Source organism: Homo sapiens, chromosome 17 (genome assembly GCF_000001405.40).
Source record: "Homo sapiens chromosome 17, GRCh38.p14 Primary Assembly".
In the NCBI taxonomy this organism is placed as follows: Eukaryota; Metazoa; Chordata; class Mammalia; order Primates; family Hominidae; genus Homo; species Homo sapiens.
In genome coordinates, this window is record NC_000017.11 from 3,614,157 (window position 1) to 3,636,458 (window position 22,302).

General features: G+C 50.2%; 1 protein-coding gene and 1 pseudogene across 1 annotated transcript in view, besides 3 other annotated features; both read right to left on the reverse strand.

Annotated features, from left to right (window-relative positions):
* SHPK (sedoheptulokinase) overlaps window positions 1-22,094 on the reverse strand; it is a 28,011-nt gene extending 5,917 nt beyond the window's left edge. Inside the window, exons 1-6 of the mRNA NM_013276.4 lie at window positions 21,896-22,094; window positions 16,049-16,190; window positions 9,892-10,075; window positions 9,183-9,335; window positions 7,081-7,256; window positions 1,181-1,381 (exon numbers count right to left, since the gene is read on the reverse strand). Of these exons, the coding sequence (NP_037408.2) occupies window positions 1,181-1,381; window positions 7,081-7,256; window positions 9,183-9,335; window positions 9,892-10,075; window positions 16,049-16,190; window positions 21,896-22,063 (1,024 nt within the window). The 5' untranslated portion in view covers window positions 22,064-22,094. The remainder of the gene's footprint in view (window positions 1-1,180; window positions 1,382-7,080; window positions 7,257-9,182; window positions 9,336-9,891; window positions 10,076-16,048; window positions 16,191-21,895) is intronic.
* Window positions 4,908-5,772, reverse strand: LOC100422717 (pterin-4 alpha-carbinolamine dehydratase 2 pseudogene; annotated as a pseudogene).
* Window positions 9,445-10,644: an enhancer, noted in NCBI's record as "MED14-independent group 3 enhancer chr17:3526895-3528094 (GRCh37/hg19 assembly coordinates)". NCBI's record gives its function as "activates an origin of replication core promoter dependent on BRD2, BRD4, P300/CBP and CDK7 cofactors, and independent of MED14, by STARR-seq in HCT116 cells {active_cell/tissue: HCT116}" and the evidence as "EXISTENCE:reporter gene assay evidence [ECO:0000049][PMID:35650434]".
* Window positions 19,646-20,511: an enhancer, noted in NCBI's record as "NANOG-H3K27ac hESC enhancer chr17:3537096-3537961 (GRCh37/hg19 assembly coordinates)". NCBI's record gives its function as "activates a minimal SCP1, AML or CMV promoter by ChIP-STARR-seq in naive H9 embryonic stem cells {active_cell/tissue: H9 hESC(naive)}" and the evidence as "EXISTENCE:reporter gene assay evidence [ECO:0000049][PMID:30033119]".
* Window positions 21,810-21,869: a silencer, noted in NCBI's record as "silent region_8014". NCBI's record gives its function as "represses an Ori minimal core promoter by ATAC-STARR-seq in GM12878 lymphoblastoid cells {active_cell/tissue: GM12878}" and the evidence as "EXISTENCE:reporter gene assay evidence [ECO:0000049][PMID:35858748]".

The window sequence follows — 22,302 nt, forward strand, 5'->3', positions numbered from 1 at the left end:
TAATGACTCAGGGACACAGCTGGGAACCAAAGTCACTCTCCTGGGTTCCACCCCGCACCGTGCTTCTTTAAGAAATGCCTACATCAGGGCGAGCGCAGTGGCTCACGCCTGTAATCCCAGCACTTTTGGAGGCCGAGGCAGGTGGATCACAAGGTCAGGAGATTGAGACCATCCTGGCTAACACGGTGAAACCCCACCTCTACTAAAAATACAAAAAAATTAGCTGGGTGTGGTGGCGGGTGCCTGTAGTCCCAGCTACTTGGGAGGCTGAGGCAGGAGAATGGCGTGAACCTGGGAGGCGGAGATTGCAGTGAGCCGAGATCGCACTACTGCACTCCAGCCTGGGCAACAGAGCGAGACTCCATCTCAAAAAAGAAAAGAAAAGAAAAGAAAAGAAATGCCTACATCAGGCCAGGCACAGTGGCTCATGCCTATAATCCCAGCACTTTGGGAGGCCGAGGCGGGTGGATCACCTGAGGTCAGGAGTTCAAGACCAGCCTGGCCAACATGGCAAAACCCCATCTCTAGTAAAAAGACAAAAATTTGCCAGGCGTGGTGGCGCATGCCTGTAATCCCAGCTACTCGGAAGGCTGAGGCAGGAGAATCCCTTGAACCTGGGAGGCGGAGTTTGCAGTGAGCCGAGATCGCGCCACTGCACTCCAGCCTGGGTGACAGAGCGAGACTCCGTCTCAAAAAAAAAAAAAAAGAAGAAGAAGAAGAAGAAAAGCCTGCATCGCACTTCCTATGGCCAGGCTTCTCAGGATATAAGTGCATTGTAAGTGAAATACGCACCATTGTAAGTCAAGGAGCAACTGTCCATGGAGAGCAGAGAAAACTTCATAAATTCTACCCCAAGGATAAGAGAAAGGAGCAGGAGGAGAAAAGAGGGAGCAGGGAGGGCGGGGGAAAGCTGGGGAGACTGTTAGGAAGGTTCACAGTCAAGGTTGGGGGAAGGGTGCCTGACCCAAAGAAAAGAGTAGGTGATGGCAGCTTGGAGGACAAGAAGAAAAGAGGCTGCAAGCTCAGATCCCAAAGGATGGGAGAAATATGCCAGGACCTGGCAGGGTCTGAGACCTCAATGTGGACGCTGAAACCGCACATGAAGCTCCGTGAAGCTCCGAGACCCTGCCGGGTAGAAAGGACAGGCAGAGAACACAGCGCTGTGTGGGCCACACCTTACCTAGATCTGCCATCCACTGAACCAGCATGTGGACGAACGTGGCCAGCACATTGCCCCCGTTGAGTGACGCGGCCACCCCCAGGTAGGTCCTGTTGAAGTATGGGAAGTAGGCGACTGGGGCCGTAGGGTCTGGAGTCTGTGCAGGCTGGAATCCTGAAGGCATGGAGGCTGCCAGCTGAACCGAGGTGCTGATGTTGAGAACTGGGGTCCGAAGAGAGCAGAGCTTAGGCCTGTCGGGCTAACTCAGAGGTCACAAGTCACAGTTTGGCAGTGAGAGGGGGTGGCCTGTCGGGTTAACTCAGAGGTCACAAGTCACAGTTTGGCAGTGAGAGGGGGTGGCCTGTCAGGCTAACTCAGAGGTCACAAGTCACAGTTTGGCAGTGAGAGGGGGTGGCCTGTCGGGCTAACTCAGAGGTCACAAGTCACAATTTGGCACTGAGAGAGGGTGGGGTTTTAAAAATATGTCCAGGATAGTTAGAAGGGCAAGGTGTTGAAGAGATGTTGATCAAAGGAATTTTTTTTTTTTTTTTTTTTTTGAGACAGAGTCTCGCTCTGTCACCCAGGCTGGAGTGCAATGGTGCGATCTTGGCTCACTACAACCTCCACCTCCCAGGTTCAAGCAATTCTCTGCCTCAACCTCTCAAGTAGCTGCGATTACAGGTACCCACTACCACGCCTGGCTAATTTTTTTATTTTTAGTAGAGATGGGGTTTCACCATCTTGGCCAGGATGGTCTCGAACTCCTGACCTCATGATCCACCCACCTCGGCCTCCCAAAGTGTTCGGATTACAGGTGTGAGCCACCGTGCCCGGCCGATACTCCTCCTTTCAAGAGGTAGAACCTGATTCCCCTCCACGTGAGAGTGGGCTGGACTTAGTGACTCACTTCTAGTGAACAAAATAAAGCACAAGAGACAGTGTGTGCCTTCAGAGGCTAAGTCATAAAAGGCACTGCGACTCCTATCTCGGTCACGCTGTCTTGTGGATCACTTGCTCTCGGGGAAGGCAGGTGCCACGTCGTGAGCAGCCCTGTGGAGAACCTCACGTGCCAGGGAACTGAGGCCTTCTACCAACAGCATCAAGCGTGGGCTCAGAGGCAGATCCTCCAGGCTCAATCAAGCCTTTGGAAGACTGCAGCTCCAGAGTGAATGCAACCTCACGAGAGACCTTGAGCCAGGACATCCCACCCCACTCAGAATCCTGACCCTCAGAAACTGTCCAAAATAATAAATGTCTGTTGTTTTAGGCTACTATGTATTAGGGTAATTTGTTACACAGCAAAAGAAAACTATGACAGGGTAAGACCTCAGACCAAGGGCTTTAGTCTCTGAGGAGGTTTCATTCATTGGCAGTGAATACTACTCTTGCTCATTTCCAAAGTATTCTTTTTGTTGTTGCTTTTGTTTTTGCTTTTGTTTTTCAGACAGAGTTTTGCTCTGTCACCCAGTCTGGAGTGCAATGGCGCGATCTTCGCTCATGCAACCTCTGCCTCCCAGGTTCAAGTGACTCTCCTGCCTCAGCCTCCCAAGTAGCTGGGATTACAGGCATGCGCCACCACGCCCAGCTAATTTTTTGTATTTTTATTAGAGGTGGGGTTTCACCATGTTGGCCAGGCTGGTCTCGAACTCCTGACCTCGTGATCCACCTGCCTCGGCCTCCCAAAGTGCTGGGATTACAGGTGCCCGCCACTGTGCCCAGCTAATTTTTATATTTTTAGTAGAGATGGGGTTTCACCATGTTGGCCAGGCTGGTCTCGAACTCCTGGCCTCAAGTGATCTGCCCACCTCAGCCTCCCAAAGTGCTGGGATTACAGGTGTGAGCCAATGCACCCGGCCAAGTTTTTCTTTAATCAGATCTGGTGTCGTAAGTGGGATCTGAACCCACCCACCTCACGATGACCTCTGGGAGCAACAAGCAAACGGGCATAAGTACCCACTGAGCCTTGGCACTCACTGCTTCCTGCTGCACATTGGGAGGCCTTCTCCAGTAAGCCCTCTTGGACATATGAACTCCACAACTTGTGTTGAGTTCACTGAGTTATTTGGGCATTTTTAAATCTGGACTGGGTTTGGAAGCCATGACAGAAACTGGAACAGGTGCTGAAGGGAAGCTTCAGGTGTCCAACTGGGTCAGACAGAAACTAAATTGGGTTTAGTAAAAGACCTCCAGTAGAAAAGGTTCCAGGAAGACAGAAAATAATGGGTTTACTTAAATTCAGGGAGTCTGAGACTCCATCTCAGAACATTTGCTTTTCTAGATAAATGAGTGAATCTTACCAAAAATAATTTAGAATTTTGGTGGCCACATAAGGAAGTTTTAACCTAAACAAACAAACAAACAATTCCAAACACCTCAGAAACAATGGGATATATTTTTGATTGGCAGGTAAAAGTTTCTGACCTCTCTTTCTTTGTACCTTCCTCTCCCTACACTGAATCTGCTGACATTTTTGCCTGTTTACCTCCTACCCCAAAGTCAAAAAAAAATTAAAAAGGAGAACTAGATAACTGTTTATAAAAGTCAGGCTCTCAGATTAACCAGATCTGCTTTTTAAGCATTCTTATGCCTTCGTCAAAATCTTGAGCTCAGAGCAATAATGAAAGATATCCCTGTTTGGCATAAAAAATGCTTTGTCTGCCCTATCAAAATTGTTTTGTCTTGCTTCTGCAAATACTTTATGAAAATTTCCCCTCTTGCCTCTCCTGGCAGAGTGCTAGGAGTCTGGTGCTACCATGATTCACAAATCACTGCATCTTCAAATAAACTCTTTGTTTGTTTGTTTGTTTTTGAGACAGAGTCTCACTCTGTTGCCCAGGCTGGAGTGCACTGGCGCGATCTCAGCTCACAGCAACTTCTGCCTCCTGGATTCAAGCAATTCTCTGCCTCAGCCTCCCGAGTAGCTGGGATTACAGGTGCCCACCACCACACCTGGCTAATTTTTTGTATTTTTAGTAGAGATGGGTTTTCACCATCTTGGCCAAGCTGGTCTTGAACTCCTGACCTCATGATCCACCCACCTCAGCCTCCCAAAGTGCGGGGATTACAGGTGTAAGCCACCGCACCCAGCCAAATAAACTTTTTAAAATTTAAATGTACTTCTTCTATCCAACATTCAATCCTTTTTTAGCTATGTGTATATACCACATTATAAAAATTCATTCATGGCTGGGCACAGTGGCTCACGCCTGTAATCCCAGCACTTTAGGAGGCCGAGGCAGGTGGATCACAAGGTCAAGAGATCGAGACCATCCTGGCCAACATGGTGAAACCCTGTCTCTACTAAAAATACAAAAATTAGCTGGGTGTGGTGGCGTGCGCCTGTAGTCTCAGCTACTTGGGAGACTGAGGCAGGAGAATCACTTGAACTCAGGAGGCGGAGGTTGCAGTGAGCTGAGATTGTGCCACTGCACTCCAGCCTGGGTGAGAGAACAAGACTCCATCTCAAAAAAAAAAAAAATTCATTCATTAGTTGACAGACATTTAGATGGTTTATACTTTTTGGCTATTATAAGTAATGCTGCTGTGAACATCTGTGTACAACTTTTTGTGTGGATATCATTTGTTTTCAGTTCTCCTGGGTGTATTTCTAGGAGCAGAATTGCTGGGGCCTGTGGTAACTCCACGTTTAACATTTGAGGAACTACCAGCTGTTTTCCAAAGAGGCCGTACCTTTTTACAATCCCACTAGCATGTTCTCACTTTTTTTTTTTCAAGTTTAATCATTTTGTATATAAGCACTGATTTTACAAAACATAGTATATAAAGGCAAACTAAATTTACATAACTTAAATTGTTATTTTTTTTTCTGCCTCTAGAGATGATGCCTTAAGAACAACTCAATTTGTTCACGTAAATTGCCTTCAGCCTACGTTGCAGCTAAGATGTGTGTAAGATTTTACATGTATTTTGGAAGAAATCACACAGAAGAAGCTGCTTTTTCAATAAACGTGGCCAGCTTCACATCTCTTTTGATCAGTCCACCACAGTTACGTGAGGTGAGAGTTATCTGGACCTTGTTTTATACATTGAACCATTCCGGGTGATGATTCATCTTCTCTGCTTGTAGGGCAACTCGGGACATAAAGCCAAATGCCTGATTAAAAATTTGGACGGAGAGGCCGGGCACGATGGCTCACACCTGTAATCCCAGCACTTTGGGAGGCCAAGGCAGGCAGATCACAAGGTGAAGAGATTGAGACCATCCTGGCCAACATGGTGAAACCCCGTGTCTACTAAAAATGCAAACATTAACCAGCCATGGTGGTGTGCGCCTGTAGTCCCATCTACTCGGGAGGACAAGGCAGGAGAATCGCTTGAACCCCAGAGGCAGAGATTGCAGTGAGCCGAGATCACACCACTGCACTCCAGCCTGGGCGACAGAGTGAGACTCCATCTCAAAAAAAAAAAAAAAATTTGGAAGAAGAATGATTTGTAGATGGCATCTCTCTCTCACTTAATTCTGACCATCCTGCTGCTTTAAGATTGAGTATAGCTTGGTTCCTCTCCTCTGCTGTCTACCTGTGAGCACCTGACAACATGGCCACGAGCCCTGGGCTCCGGCCTCCCAGCGCCGCCAAGCGCCATATCGTCCCACGTTCTCACGTTTTTAAATGGTTGAAAAAAAATTAAAAGAAGAATTTTTCATGACACATGAAAATTATGTGGCATTCCCATTTCAGTGTCTATGAACAATGTTTTATTGGAACACAGCTACACCCGCTCATTTACATATCGTCTATGGCTGCTTTTGAATTCCTACAGCACAGCTGAGCAGTTACAACAGAGACGGCATGATCCGCAAAGCCGAAAATATTTACAGAAAATATTTTCTGCCCTTTAGAGTAAAAGAGCCAATCCCTGCCCTAGACACAGCTGCCTCTACCTCACCATGATTCCCTTACTATGAATACAGAAAATATTCTACACTTCTTTTTTTTTTTTTGAGACAGAGTCTTGCTCTGTCGCCCAGGCCGGAGTGCAGTGGCACGATCTCGGCTCACTGCAAGCTCTGCCTTCCGGGTTCACACCATTCTCCTGCCTCAGCCTCCCAAGTAGCTGGGACTACAGGCGCCCATCACTATGCCTGGCTAATTTTTTCTATTTTTTTTTTTAATACAGATGGGGTTTCACCGTGTTAGCCAGGATGGTCTCGATCTCCTGACCTCGTGATCCACCTGCCTTGGCCTCCCAAAGTGCTGGGATTACAGGCATGAGCCACTGCGCCCGGCCGTTTTGTTTTGTTTTGAGATGGAGTCTCGCTCTGTCGTCAGGCTGGAGTGCAGTGATGTGATCTCAGCTCACTGAAACCTCCGCCTCCCGGGTTCAAGCGATTCTCTGCCTCAGCCTCCTGAGTAGCTGGGATTACAGGCACCCACCACCACACCTGGCTAATTTTGGTATTTTTAGTAGAGACAGGGTTTCACCATCTTGGCCAGGCTGGTCTTGAACTCCTGACCTCGTGATCCGCCTGCCTCGGCCTCCCAAAGTGCTGGGATTACAGGCGTGAGCCACCGCGCCCAGCCTATCCTGCACTTCTAATCAGATCTGACATCACTTCCAACACAGTAACCAAAACCCTCATCAGCTCATCTGTTTTCTTGGGCCCGGAGTCACATAGAAACCAGAAAGCTAGAAAGAGCCGTTTCTCTCACCCAGCCCCAGAGGTGGTCAGCACAGATGGTTGGTGCTCAGGGACAGAACTTGCCCTGCTGGCCTGTAAGCTCCCTCAATAGAGGATTTTACCTGCAAGGACAAGGGTGCTTTTCATCTTTACAGAATAATGATCTCCAGCAGGATGCCAAGACTGCTAAGCTCTGTGTGCCCTGCAGACTCGCACAGAGCTGGTGCTTATGAGGCAGGCGACAGTGTAAGTCTGAGGACAGAACAAAAGAAAAACTTACCTGCATCTGTCCTCTGGGCCATGCAGGAATAGACAGAGGCCTGTAAATCACCCAAGGCCACTCCCACCTGCGTCCCCTTTGGGATTTCAAACCACATGTGGGAAGTTCTGCCCGCCACACTGCCAGGCTCGGCGATGTCTGGGAGCAGGTGGACAGGAAAACCCGAGCTCCTCAGTCTGTAAAACAGAAGTGGACACCCACATGGACCCACAGTTAGGTTTCGGGAATTTAAGGGATCCTTCCTTCCTTCCTCCCTTCCTTCTCTCCATTCCTCCCTCCCTTCTTCCTTTCCTTTCCTCCCTCCCTCCCTTCTCTTTACTCCTTCCCTCTTTCCCTCCCTTCCTTTCCTCCTTCTCTCCATTCCTTCCCTCCCTCCCTCCCTCCCTTCCTTCCTTCCTTCCTTCTTTCTTTCTTTTTTACTTATTTATTTTTTTGAGATGGAGTCTTGCTCTGTTGCCCAGGCTGGAGTGCAGTGGCACCATCTCAGCTCACTGCAACCTCCACCTCCCAGGTTCAAGCAATTCTCCTGCCTCAGCCTCCCTAATAGCTGGGATTACAGGCGCACACCACCATGCCCAGCTAATTTTTGTATTTTTAGTAGAGACGGGGTTTCGCCATCTTGGCCAGGCTGGTCTCGAACTCCTGACCTCACATCGTTCACCCGCTTCAGCCTCCCAAAGTGCTGGGATTACAGGCGCGACCCACCACACCCGGCTCCTTCTTTCTTTTTTTGAGACAGGGTCTAGCTCTGTTACCCAGGCTGGAGTGGAGTGGTGTGATCACTGCTCACTGTAACCTCAACCTCCCAGGCTCAAGCAATTCTCCCACCTCAGCCTCCCAAGCAGCTGGGATTACAGGCCTGCACCACCACACCCAGCTGCTTTCCTTTTTTGTTGTTGTTTGTTTGTTTCCAGGAAACTCTGCATGGGAAAGTGCTATAGGACACACATGGCCGAAGTGGGGATAGAATTCAGTGCCCTCACAGGCAGCTTCTCTGGCTTTTTTAAAACCATGAGCTTAGGCTTTGTCAATAGAGTACACTGGCTTTCATAAGCTTAGGATTCACCTTCCAGGAAAGAAAACAAACAACATAGGCAGCCGTGATCAAGTCCAGCCTCCCATGTTTGAAGGGAGCTCAAAAACTCTGCAAAGGGAGGCAGCCGGAGGTTCGGCGCCATTATGGTTGGTGAGCACAGCCCAAACCAAAGTCAAATGCAGCAGGCTCCTGAATATCAAACGTGTTAGTCACTCAGGGTTAGTGAATGGGAAGCTGTCAACTTCACACAACATGCTGGAAAGTCCTTTACCTGAACTACCAGGTGCTTTTTGTTTTATTTCAGAGCTCAGAATTTGGGCCCTGAAGGAAGTGAACTTACAGGGCACTGGACTTCTGTACCTGAAAAGGCAAATGATTGTTCAAAAAGAACTTAAAAGGCATCCTTCAAGCCTACTATCTCTAGTTCTTTTTTCTTTTTTTTTTTTTTTGAGACAAGAGTCTCGCTCTGTCCCCCAGGCTGGAGTGCCGTGGTGCAATCTCGGCTCACCGCAACCTCCGCCTCCCAGGTTCAAGTGATTCTCCTGCCTCAGCCTCCAGAGTAGCTGGGATTACAGGCGCACTCCACCACGCCCAGCTAATTTTTGTATTTTTAGTAGAGATGGGGTTTCGCCATGTTGCCCAGGCTGGTCTCGAACTCCTGACCTCAGGTGATTCACCCGCCTCAGCCTCCCAAAGTGCTGGGATTACAGGCATGAGCCACCGCGCCTGGCTCTCTAAGTTTAAGTATTAAAGAGTGAAAGCTGTACTCTGAAACCTACAGACTGGGCTCATGGTCACAGAGAAGGGAGAGCCCACCTGGGGTCTGGGCGGCTGTGGAGGAGCAGGACAGCATGGCTGAGGCCCCTACCCAAGGGCTCAGGGCTGTGCTTACACTGGGCCCATCCATGCCCCGTGTCTGGGACAGGCCAGGGGCACTGGACCCTGATCCTGGCCTCTGGGAACCCTCCACCACTCCCAGATGGGAAAGCACCCACTGAAGCACTGGCTCCGGGGTTGCCCTTCAGATTGGAGCAGGAGGAACAGCCTGCAAGGATGTGATACTCACGTCTCTACGTTCCAGCTTTGGCTCTGCGTGTTGAAATAGCCCCAGCTGGCAGCATTCTGGTCGGACATCAGAGGTCTTGGCAAGCCACACAGCATGGCAACCACATAGTCGTGGATGGTACCGGCTGCGTCGTAGGACTTCAGGAACTCTGGGCTGTTTTTCATACCAAAAACAACCAACACGGTATAACATGAACTCGGAAGCATGTGCCGCACCTAGCTGCAGGCAGCAGGGACCAGCTGTGCCATGGCCAGGTGGCAGCCACAACCGCATATACTATGGCTCAAGTCCAGCTGGGTCCCTGGGATTAGGACCTCCCAGCTGCCCCAAGCAAAGCCAGCCTAAGTCAGCCCCAGGGGAAGGGCCTGAGAGGAGGAAGTGTCAAGCCTGGAAAAGCAGACGTCAGCCTCCTCAGCAGCCTCGCAGGCCTGAACACACTGCGAACTCTCCCCGTGACCCTCGGCAAGTCACTTGCCCTCTCTGTTCCCTCCTTTCCCTATGTGGGTGGGAACTGGATAACCAATAGAGAGCCCTCTGCAAAAGGACGTGGTTCTGGACCCAATCGAGGTCCAGGCCATGCTGCATCCTGTCCTGCCAGGACACACTCACTGCGGCACAGCCCAGCAGGCGGGGTGATGCTGACGCAGCCCCGGCCTATTCTCATTCTCCCGGAAACCCAGCACCCGAGTGAAAGTGCAGTTGCCCGTACCGATATTTCAAAAGCCAGAAGATGGTTGCACAGCCGAAGCCCGTGGCCACACTGAGATGAGACTTCGGCTGGGGCAGAGAGGCCAGGAATTCGCTGCTACATCGGCCATCCTGCCACGTGACCAGGTGGCTAACAGCTCGGGGCTCGAACACCGGGGTAATCCCTCCCTCTGTCCATTCACAGCCTGGAACAAAAGAGATGACCAAAAATGAAGAAAAGAGCAAATGACTAGGCATGGCGCGGCCTTGATACTACTCTGCTGGTGAGTGACAAAATATGTGCGAATCGTCCCATGATAAAGCCTGGCACACCTATGGGTCCTGATAGCACTGGCTTTAGTACTTGGCTCTACCACATAATGACTGTGGGACCCTGGGCACGTCACATACTCCCTCCATTTGCCCCACTTCTCTGTTTGTTTTTATTCTTTTTTGAAGTTGATATCATATCTCCCCACATCTCAGAAGATGTTTGGCACAATCTCAAGTCCCCTGGTCTCTGTCCCTCCAACCCTCATCATGACATTATCTAGGCTTACTGCTACTTGATTACCAGTAAATTTTCTCTTTTCCTTAGTTCTTAGCTGATTGCGTTTTATTTTATTTTATTTTATTTTAATTTTTTCAGACAGAGTCTCATTGTGTCCCCCAGGTTGGAATGCAGTGGCATGATCCCGGCTCACTGCAACCTCCATCTCCCAGGTTCAAGCGATTCTCCTGCTTCAGCCTCCCGAGTAGCTGAGACTACAGGCCCACGCCACCACGCCCAGCTAATTTTTTGGACTTTCAGTAGAGACAGGGTTTCATCATGCTGCCCAGGCTGGTCTCGAACTCCTGAGCTCAGGCAATCCACCCACCTCAGCCTCCCAAAGTGCTAGGATTACAGGCATGAGCCACCGCACCTGGCCCTGATTGATTTTTAGACATCCAAATTTACTTTAAAATCATCTGACCGTCAGATTTTTTTTCATTTGTGCCTTGTGACATCCTCTGGATTTTTCTCTGCCCTTATTCAGTGATTTCTCCCAAGGCCAATTTCAGTGTCAGTCTTTCCAGGCAGTGTCTGAAGGCCCAGATGCCACCAAATATTTCTCATGTTCCCATCTTTAAATGCCAGTTTGATTAGTTATAATAGTCTGGTTCTAAGTTCCTTCCCTTCAATGCTTAAAAGCACTTTTTGTGGTCGATTGTTGCAAATTCTTCACTACTCCTCCCATTAAGAGGTGGCATCTGAATCCTCTTTCCTTGAATATAGAATCACCTTGGTGACGTGCTTGACCAGGAGAATGTGGAGGCAGTCACATCTTGGGACTCCCAAGGCTAGGTCATAAGAAGTACTGCAGCTCCCGCCCAAGCCTCTTACACCAGTCTCTCTGGGGGAATCAGCCTTCAGGTAAGAAGTGCGACTACGCCGAGGCCGCCATGCTGAGGAGACCACGGGCAAAGAGCAGCCGGCAGACCGTTTCCAGGTGAGCCCAGCCTCCAGCCTTCCCACCAAGGTACCAGGCATTGAGTAAAGCCACCGTGACCCCCTGGACCAGTCTGTCCACCAGTTGAACACTAACAAGCAACCTCCACCACCACCATGCAGAAGCAGCAGTGGGCTGAGCCCTGCCCAACCCCTGACCCAAAAAATCATGACAGATGATAAATGCTTGTTGCTTTCAGTCACTAGGTTGGAGGTAGTTTGTTGTGCCGCAATAGGTCATCAAAATACTACTCCTGGTCAGGCACGGTGGCTCACGCCTATAATCCCAGCACTTCGGGAGGCCAAGGTGGGCGGATCACCTGAGGTGAGGAGTTCGAGACCAGCCTGGACAACATGGCGAAACCCCATCTCTACAAAAAATACAAAAATTAGCCAGGTGTGGTAGCGGGTGCCTGTAATCCCAGCTACTCCGGAGGCTGAGGCAGGAGAATCGCTTGAACCCAGTAGGCGGAGGTTGCAGTGAGCTGAGATCGCACCACTGCACTCCAGCCTGGGCAACAGAGTGAGGCTCCATCTCAGAAAAACAAAACAAACAAAAAAATGCTACTCCATTGTCTTTTCACACAGAATGCTGCTGTTGAAAAAAATCTAATGTCAATCTGATCCTTATTCTTTCATATGGGATCTGATCTTTTGCTCTGTAAGCTTTTGGAATTCTGTCTTTGAAATCCTTAAAAGTTCACTAGAATATATCTAGCTGGGGGTTGTCTTTATCTCCTCTTTGACATTCTATGGGCCCTTTCAGGCTGGGGTGTTCTATCTTATGTTGTCAATTATAGGAAATTTTTCTCCATTATTTCTTCAAAGATTTCCTCCTCTCCATTTTTATTTTTCCCTTTCTGGTCTCTTATGATTTAGATGCTAGTGCTTCTGTTTGTATCCTCAATACCTCTTAGCTCATCGGGCGCAGTGGCTCACACCTGTAATCCCAGCACTTTGGGAGTATGAGGCGGGTGGATCACTTGAGGTCAGGAGTTCAAGGCCAGCCTGGCCAACATGGTGAAACCCCTTCTCTGCTAAAAATACCGAAAAAAAAATTAGCCGGGCGTGATGGCGGGTACCTGTAGTCCCAGCTACTCTGGAGGCTGAGGCAGGAGAATGGCGTGAACCTGGGAGGCAGAGCTTGCAGTGAGCAGAGATTGCGCCACTGCACTCCAGCTTGGGCAACACAGCAAGACTCCATCTCAAAAAAAAAAAAAAAAAAAATAGCCAGGCATGGTGGCGGGTGCCTGTAGTAACAGTTACTTGGGAGGGGAAATTTAGGCAGGAGAATCACTTGAATCTGGGAGGCAGAGGTTGCAGTGAGCCCAGATCGCTCCATTGTACTCCAGCCTGGGTGACAAGAGCAAGACTCCATCTCAAAAAAAATAAAAAATAAAAAAAATACCAGTTTTCCACTCCCTTTGCCAACTCTCGACATTACGGAACATTTTGATTTCTTACCATCCAATGGGTGGAAAATGATGCTTTGTTGTTTTCATCCGCACAGCTCTAATGACTAACAATGCTGAACATCTTTCCAGATGTTTATCAGCCATTGGTATTTCCTCTTCCAGGAGTAACCTATTGGTATCCTTCACCCGTTTTTCCACAGAGCTGCTTGTTCTCTCTTAGTTACTGGTTCTTTACACGTGCTGACCTGTCCTTTGTCCACTATTCACTACCAGATATTTTCTCCCTGTCTGCTGCTCGCCTTTTAGCTTTCTTTGATGATCCTGGTTGCTCTTCTGCGTTTACTGAGCCTGAAAATGGAGTTTGGAAACAGGCGTAACCACAGGCCTTTCAGAAGACACTAATCACTCCGTCTCCTCCCCTCCAGCTCGCTCCGGGTGCCCTCACTGAAGCACTTAGCTCTCTGCTCAAGTTACTCCTGCCCATCTGTGTTGACTGTGTTTTGGAAGGTAGAGGCTGCATTCCTTCATTTCTATCTCTCCCCCAGGGCCTAGCAAAGCGTTTTATAGGTTGTAGGTAGGAAAACCAAAGTGAATTAAGGCTGCCATTAAAATCGACAAGACTGGATCCCAAATGTGATTTCACTTGACTTCACTAAGCAGGTATCACCATCACCACACTGTGGCTTTCCTCCTTCCCAGAAACAGAAAACAATCCCAGAAGGCATGTGGGCTGGCTCAATAAAATATTAAGCAGCTCTTTCCAACGATGTGGCTGATGGTTTGTGTGGTTGTTAGAGAGCCCAGGAGACAGGCAGAAAGGAAGGCATGTGACCGGATCACAATCATCAGCTCTCTGCTGTCCTCTTTGGGAAGGGTTTTAGTATTAAAAGGACATTTATTCTCATTAATGCAAAATTAAGGAGTTTTAAAAGCTTTTACAACCTAGACTCCCTCTGAGAGGTTAGCCTTGACACCCTAATCGCCTTCTGCTCCCGCCACTGCTCGGTGCCAAGCAGCTCCCACGGCCCCGGCGGGTCTGATGATAGCCGGACAGGAGGGAGGAAGGGGAGGAGGAAGAGCCTGCATCAGCTCCTACGATTGCCCAGCCCCATCCTGGGAGTGATTAAACGGTGCATCACCAAATGCCAGTCCCACTGACAGGCAGGTCACCGTGCACTTCAGGGCACTCTAAATTGCCGACTCTCCATGTAGAGAGGGATGAATCCAATATTGAAATCCTCATAACTACAGCCCCCCAAAGTAGCCGTCCATCTTCTGCTTAAAATGTTGATCTGTAGTAAAATGTTGATTTTGTTGAAGCTGAGTGATGGGTATATGCTGTTCACAGTACTGTTCTCCCTATTTTTGTTTGTCTAAATTAAATCTTTCATAATTTCTTTTTTTTTTTTTTGAGACGAAGTCTTGTTCTGTCGCCCAGGTTGGAGTGCAGTGGCGCGATCTCGGCTCACTGCAACCTCTGCCTCCCGGGTTCAAGTGATTTTCCTGCCTTAGCCTCCCAAGTAGCTGGGATTATAGGCACACACCACCACACCCAGCTAATTTTTGTATTTTTAGTAGAGATGGGGTTTCACCATGTTGGCCAGGCTGGTCTCTAATTCCTGACCTCGTGATCTGCCCGCCTCAGCCTCCCAAAGTGCTGGGATTACAGGCGTGAGCCATTGTGCCTGGCCAATATAATTTCTTTTAAAGTTTGATTTGTTGTTGTCGTTGCTTTCTGAGACGGGGTCTTGCTCTGTAGCCCATGCTGGAGTGCAGTGGAGCAATCACAGCTCACTGCAGCCTCAACCTCCAGGACTCCAGTGATCCTCTCACCTCAGCCTCCCAAGTAGCTGGGACTATAAACATGTCGCACCACACCCAACTTATTTTTGCATCTTTTGTAGAGATGGGGTCCCACTATGTTGCCCAGGCTAGTCTTGAACTCCTGGCCTCAAGCAATACTCCTCCTGCCTCGGCCTCCCAAAGTGTTGGGATTTACAGGTGTGAGCCACCATGCCCGGCCTTAAAAAGTTTTTTTAATGCCTTCCATAACAGGGAGCTCCCAACTTCCTGCAGGAGCCTCATCCTTGGGCATTCTGCTGGGAAGTCTCTCACTGAGCCACTGTGTCCCCTTGCAGCTCTGGTCCTCCATCAAAAACAACCCTGCCAGGCCTTTAAAAGCTCCTCGGACAGACTTGGATTCAAAAGTGGGGTTCACCTGCTGAAATATGACCCTGAGCATATTATTCTAACCTCTCTGAACCTCAACCTCTCATCCACACAATGGGGACAACAGTGTAATCTATGTCACCAGGTTGTTGGGAATATCCGACGAGATCATGCAACTGATGTCCTCAGCCAGGCACCAGGCATGTGAAGTGCTCATTGTGGTTTTACTGTCTTAGGTTCTCCTCCTCAAGGCCAAATAGAACAGGTTACCCACCTCCGCACTGTGGCAGATCTTCATAAGACAACCAACTAGAAATGCTTAGCAACTGAACCCATAAAAAGGATATGCCGGCCGGGCATGGTGGCTCACACCTGTAATCCCAGCACTTTGGGAGGCTGCCGGTGGATCATTTGAGGTCAGGAGTTCGAGACCAGCCTGGCCAACATGGTGAAACCCCGTCTCTACTAAAAATACAAAAATTAGCTGGGCGTGGTGGCAGGCACCTGTAGTCCCAGCTACTCTGGAGGCTGAGGCAGGAAGACCACTTGAACTCGGGAGGCAGAGGTTGCAGTGAGCTGAGTTTGCGCCACTGCACTCCAGCCTGGGTAACAAGAGTGAAACTCCACCTTAAAAAAAAAAAAAAAAAAAGATATGCCCTGGAATTTTCAAAATCACAAATATGTAAACAACGACAAATGTGCCCCAATTCAAAAGCATGCCCTCCATGTCCTGGCATCTCCTGCAGCTATAGCCAGTCTCTCGGTTGTCTGCACTAATGTTCTGAGATACTGACATGGTAAAGAGAAAGCTATGGAAAATGCACTCTGCTGAATCCTTCAGGAGAATCCGAGAAAACACTCTCTTCCCTCTGCCTGTTCGTGGATAACGTGCTGATGATGTGGGAGTGGGCAGTTCCTTTGTTCACCTAACATTGGTACAGAATGCTCACCCACGCAGGAGGCAGCACGTATTCGTCCACTCCAAGAAACAAGACCCTATTCCCACTGCAGGATAACCCGACCCTTCACAGAAAGCCCCGCACAGCACTGCTCTAGTTCTGGAAGTGACTGCTACCAGCCTGAGAGCATCCCCGAGCCCAGCATACCTTGGCCTGTTTTCCAAAACACGACTCCATGCATCTGGCCCGACACCCCGATGCCCACGACGCTCCGGAGCTGGGGTCGGGGAAGGGCAGCAAGGCACTCGTGTAGGGCTTGGAGGATTCTACTCACATCCTGCTCCCGCCCCTGGAAGCAAAAGAGAACACATGGGCAGGGGCAGACACACAGGCAGGGGGAGGGGCGCAGGCCTCCCGGGATGTCCTGGAGGAGGAATGCAGTGGGCAGCATCCACTCCCTAACTTCACAGTTGAGGCACTGCTGCAGGTGAGTTGCAGCAAACTGCCTGGGCCTGCCCTCCACTGGGGTCAGACTCAGCTGAGAACAGCATTCTCTGTGCTATAAATAGAAGAAATAAGGCCAGGCACTGGTGGCTCAAGCCTATAATCCCAGCACTTTGGGAGGCCAAGGTGGGTGGATCACCTGAGGTCAGGAGTTCGAGACCAGCCTAGCCAAACAACATGATGAAACCCCGTCTCTACTAAAAATACAAAAAATTAGCCGGGTATGGTGGCATGCACCTGTAATCCCAGCTACTCAGGAGGCTGAGGCAGGAGAATCGGTTGAATCTGGGAGGCGGAGGTTGCGGTGAGCCGAGATCACGCCACGGCACTCCAGCCTGGGTGACAAAGTGAGACTCCATCTCAAAAAAACCAACTAGAGGAATCCACAGAAAGTTCAGAAGAGAAGAAGGGGAAGAGAATTGTGGCTCAGCTCTCAATAAATGTCAGCTCTTTGAGGAACTAGCAAAGCTAAGGTCTTAGAAAGGCATCTGAAGGCTGAGTTCTCAGACGTCTTGCTTCCCTCCCGGGAGTGCTGTCTTCCCCTCCTCGGAAAACCTCTCGCTTGCCCCTGTCAGCCTGCGGCCTTGGTCAGGGGCAGCTCTTGGCTCCTAACAAGCAGGAACAAAGAAGAGAAAGAAGGGAGGAGAGGAGGGGTAGGATGGGGCAGGGAGTACAGGGGAAGCACAGCCTTTTCCTAGGAAGCAGCCCCAGAGCTCAACAAGGATTCTACATGCAAGAGAGGCCACAGCCAAGAGGAAGTGGAAGACAAGAGGCACAGAGGAGCCAGGTGGCTATGCAGGATCACCAGAGGGAGGAAAGAAGAGCAGGGTGGGGACATGGGGGTGGGGGGCAGGAAGAAGGGTTCTGGGAATAGACATTTGTTTAGACCCTCACTGTCCAATACTGAAATCGTTAGCCACTTGTGGCTAGTCTGAATTGACATGTAAATGTAAAACATGCACCGGACTACAATTTAGTATGACAAAAAATATACACTATCTAATTTAATGCTTTTTTTTTTTTTTTTTTTTTTTTTTTAGCGATAGAGTCTCTCTCTATTGCTCAGGCTAGAGTGCAGTGGCATAATCTTGGCTCACTGCAACCTCTGCCTCCCAGGTTCAAGTGATTCTCCTGCCTTAGCCTCCGGAGTAGCTGGGATTACAGGCTCACACCACCACGCCGGGCTAATTTTTGTATTTTTAGTAGAGACGGGGTTTCGCCACGTTGGCCAGGCTGGTCTCAAACTCCTGGCCTCAGGGATTCACCCACCTCGGCCTCCCAAAGTGCTGGGATTACAGGTGTGAGCCACCGCACCCAGCCTTGATTATCACACATCAAACTGATAATGTGCTGGATACACTGGGTTAAATAAAATATGCAATTAAAATTAATTTCACTTGTTTATTTTAATAGGGCTGCTAGAAAATTGAAAAGGCCACGCCTGGCTCCATTTGTAGGTTACATTTCTTTTTTTTTGAGACGGAATCTCACTGTCACCAGGTTGGAGTGCAGTGGTGTGATCTCAGCTCACTGCATCGTCTGCCTCCCAGGTTCATGCGAGTCTCCTGCCTCAGCCTCCCAAGTACCTGGGACTATAGGTGCGCGCCACCACACCCGGCTAATTTTTGTATTTTTAGTAGAGACGGGGTTTCACCATGTTGGCCAGGATGGTCTCGATCTCTTGACCTCGTGATTCGCCCGCCTCGGCCTCCCAAAGTGCTGGCATTACAGGCGTGAGCCACCGCGCCTGGCCTGCAGGTCATATTTCTACTGGACAGAGCTAGTTTAAAGAGTCCTCCCAGCTGGGCGCAGCGGCTCACGCCTATAATCGCAGCCACTGGGAAGGTTGAAGCAGGAGATCACTTGATCCCAGAACTTTGAGACCAGCCTGAGACCAGCCTCAGCAACACAGTAAGACTCCACATGGCCATGGGGTGGTGTGTCATCCCAGGACAGAGCTGCTGTTTCAAATGGTCCCAGGGTGAGTGGGTGCGTGAGTTGTGTGGGGGGAGACACGGGAAGAAGTAAGCAGGCTGGATGTGGTAAAGACAAGGAGGCAGTGTTCAGCAGTTAGAAACAGTTTTAGGGGCGGGTGTGATTGGGGAGTAGCTCTTGGACAGACCCCCAGTGTAACAGGAATAGACATTGCCCCCACTCCTTGGCTCAGAATATCAGTTGGTCTACATCCACGTCGAATCCTCGCGCTTTAGACTTGCACACAGTACTTAGAAGCTCATTAAATCCTACTCCTCAGGCCTCTTTTTACAGCGGAGGAAACTGATGCCCAGAGAGGAAAAATAAATATAAACTGTGAAAGGGTCACAGAACTGCCCTCGAAAACCTTGTATTTTAAATGGGCAAATACCAAAAACTGATTGTCTGCACAGCTGCCAAGCTTGACCCTGGTATAGCTAATACTTATGAGTGAAAAGTATGAACTTGAGGAAAGAACACAGCCAGCAGATATTACTTTTTTTTTTTTTTTTTTTTTTTTGGAGACAGAGTCTTACTCTGTTGCCCAGGCTGGAGTGCAGTGGTATGATCTGGGCTCACTGCAACCTCTGCCTCCCGAGTTCAAGCAATTCTCCTGCCTCAGCCTCCCAAGTAGCTGGGATTACAAGCACGCATCACCACGCCCGGCTAATTTTTGTTATTTTGTAGTAGAGACAGGGTTTCACCATGTTGGCCAGGCTGGTCTCGAACTCCTGACCTCAAGTGATCCACCCACCTCCGCCTCCCAAAGTGCTGGGATTACAGGCAAGAGCCACCGCGCCCGGCCACAGATATGACTATAGATCACTGGTTCCTACTCGGGGTGGTCTTGTCACCTAGGGAACATTTGGCAACATGGAGACATTTTTGGTTGTCACATCTGGGGAAGAGGGGCAAGCGTGGCTGGCATCTAGTGGGCCAGAGATGTTGCTAAACATTCTACAACATGCAGGACACCCCTCACACAACAAAAACTATGCAGCCCAAAATGTCAGCAGCACCAAGGTTGAGAAACCCTGCTATATAGACTAACTCACAGCAGTGCTGTTTGTCCCAGAGCACGATTCATATGTGGTGTGGGGGGGTTAATGACTGGCCTCCGCTAAGCACTTCATTAAATAGGTGTGACACACTGGGTGAGCCTGTAAGCACAGAACAGCCTGCTGAAAGCTGGGGAGGGAGGGCAGAAAAGTTTTCAAGAAGTGGCCGTGCTGCCGCCCCTACTGGGAAGTGAGGAGCCCCTCTGCCCGGCCACCACCCCGTCTGGGTAGTGTACCCAACAGCTCATTGAGAATGGGCCATGATGACAATGGCGGTTTTGTGGAATAGAAAAGGGGGAAAGGTGGGGAAAAGATTGAGAAATCGGATGGTTGCTGTGTCTGTGTAGAAAGAAGTAGACATGGGAGACTTTTCATTTTGTTCCGTACTAAGAAAAATTCTTCTGCCTTGGGATCCTGTTGATCTGTGACCTTACCCCCAACCCTGTGCTCTCTCAAACATGTGCTGTGTCCACTCAGGGTTAAATGGATTAAGGGCGGTGCAAGATGTGCTTTGTTAAACAGATGCTTGAAGGCAGCATGCCCGTTAAGAGTCATCACCACTCCCTAATCTCAAGTACCCAGGGACACAAACACTGCGGAAGGCCGCAGGGTCCTCTGCCTAGGAAAACCAGAGACCTTTGTTCACTTGTTTATCTGCTGTCCTTCCCTCCACTATTGTCCTATGACCCTGCCAAATCCCCCTCTGCGAGAAACACCCAAGAGTGATCAATTAAAAAAAAAAAAAAAGTGGCCATGCTGGGTGCGGTGGCTCACACCTGTAATCCCAGCACTTTGGGAAACCGAGGCAGGCAGATCAGTTGAGGTCAGGAGTTTGAGACCAGCCTTGCCAACATGGTGAAACCCCATCTCTACCAAAAATACAAAAAAATTCTCCAAGCATGGTGGCGCACACCTGTAATCCCAGCTACTCGGGAAACTGAGGCACGAAAATCACTTGAACCCGGGAGGCAGAGGTTTCAGTGAGCAGAGATTGCACCACTGCACTCCAGCCTGGGTGACAGAGCGAGACCCTGTCTCAAAAAAAAAAAAAAAAAAAAAAGAAGTGCTCTATTTCAGGAGAAACTGGCACTTTCTGAGCCTACTCTCCCCTAATGCCAGCTCTCCTGCTCACCCCACCAGGGTCAGAGCCAACTTTGCCTCCAATTCATAGTCCTTTAAGTAAGAATCCTTTTAATATGCCCTAATGTCCCAACCAAACTAATCTTGAAAGCTTCTATGTAGATACAAAGTGCTCCTGAAATCCCTATCCTCAGAAATGCTTCTGAGCCAAATGGGCTCTGAACCCTAAACAACCGTGTCCATGTATGTGGCAAGAGCTTGTGAAAAACAAAGCTGGGCCAGGCGCAGTGACTCACAACTGTAATCCTAGCACTTTGGGAGGCTGAAGTGGGCAGATCACTTGAGGTCAGGAGTTCAAGACCAGTCTGGCGAACATGGCGAAACCCTGTCTCTACTAAAAATACAAAAAGTAGCCGGGCGCGGTGGCTCACACCTGTAGTCCCAGCTACTCGGGAGGCTGAAGCAGGAGAATCACTTGAATCCAGTTGGCGGAGGTTGCAGTGAGCCCAGATCACGCCACTGTACTCCAGCCTGGGCAACAGAGCGAGACTTGGTAAGAAAGAGAAAGAAAGGAAAGAATGAAGGAAGGAAGGAAGGAAGGAAGGAAGGAAGGAAGGAAGGAAGGAAGGAAGGGAAGGAAGGGAAGGAGTCTCGCTCTGTCACCCAGGCTGGAGTGCAACGGAGCGATCTCGACTCACTGCAAGCTCCGCCTCCCGGGTTCGCGCCATTCTCCTGCCTCAGCCTCCCGAGTAGCTGGGACTACAGGCGCCCGCCACCACGCCCCGCTAATTTTTTGTATTTTTAGTACAGACGGGGTTTCACCGTGTTAGCCAGGATGGTCTCGATCTCCTGACCTCGTGATCCGCCCGCCTCGGCCTCCCAAAGCGCTGGGATTACAGGCGTGAGCCACCGCGCCCGGCTGACCAAAGGTTTCTTGGTCCGCATTCTGCTTCTGTGGAATGAGCCAGGAGCCAGTTAGGCCTGATTTGACATCTGATTTCCGGAGGAAAACCCAGACTCTGCCCTGGGCAACAAACTGAATCCTGAACTTGAGGTCACAGGGCAGGTGTGAGGAGCGGAGAGCAGCAAGAGTGAAAGGGAGGCCTGTGGTCATTCCATACACACAAGAGATCAGTTCCTCCAAGGTCAGGGGACAGAGAGCACAGGGATCCAGCGCCAAGCGCAAGGCCCCCAGAAGAAGCCAGAGAGTCGGGGAGGGGGCGGGGGGGAATCGGTCCCAGCAGGTGGGAAGGATTCTGGGACCAGACCTAAGGGATCATGAGCACAGCTGCTGCAGGCAGACGGGCCCCTGGAGAAGCTGGGGACAAGCTGGAATAGAGACTTCATTGCGGGAAGGGCTGTCAGGGAGGCCTCCTGGGGTGGAAAAGGGTGGTCAGGAGGCTCCTGGAGGCGGCGCGGCCCCGGGGGTCCAACTCACCTGGGGCCCGGCCACCGCGCTCTCGACCGCCGCCTCTGCCCGCGCAGCACGGGCACAGCTCGCCAGCACTGCGAACCCGGATGGGTCGTCGGGCGCGGCCCTCAGCAGAGCTGCCTTCACAGATGTGGTGCCCAGGTCAATGCCGAGGGTGATCGGCCGCGCAGCCATTATCTCCCTGACCCGCGCAGCTCCAGTCTGCAGCCAGCGGCCCCACAAGTCCGCGCTCTTCGCCCAGGGGGGCGGGGCAGGGGCGGGGAGTCGCCTGCCAATCTTTCAGCCACACCCAACATGGAGGCTTCTCGTCTTCCCACTGGCCGGGGAAGGCGAGCTTCCACGCAACCTCTCGGCGGGCCCCGGCTATAGGCGGAGAGGCGGCGGAAGGCGGGACCTAAAGGGGGCCCCGCCCC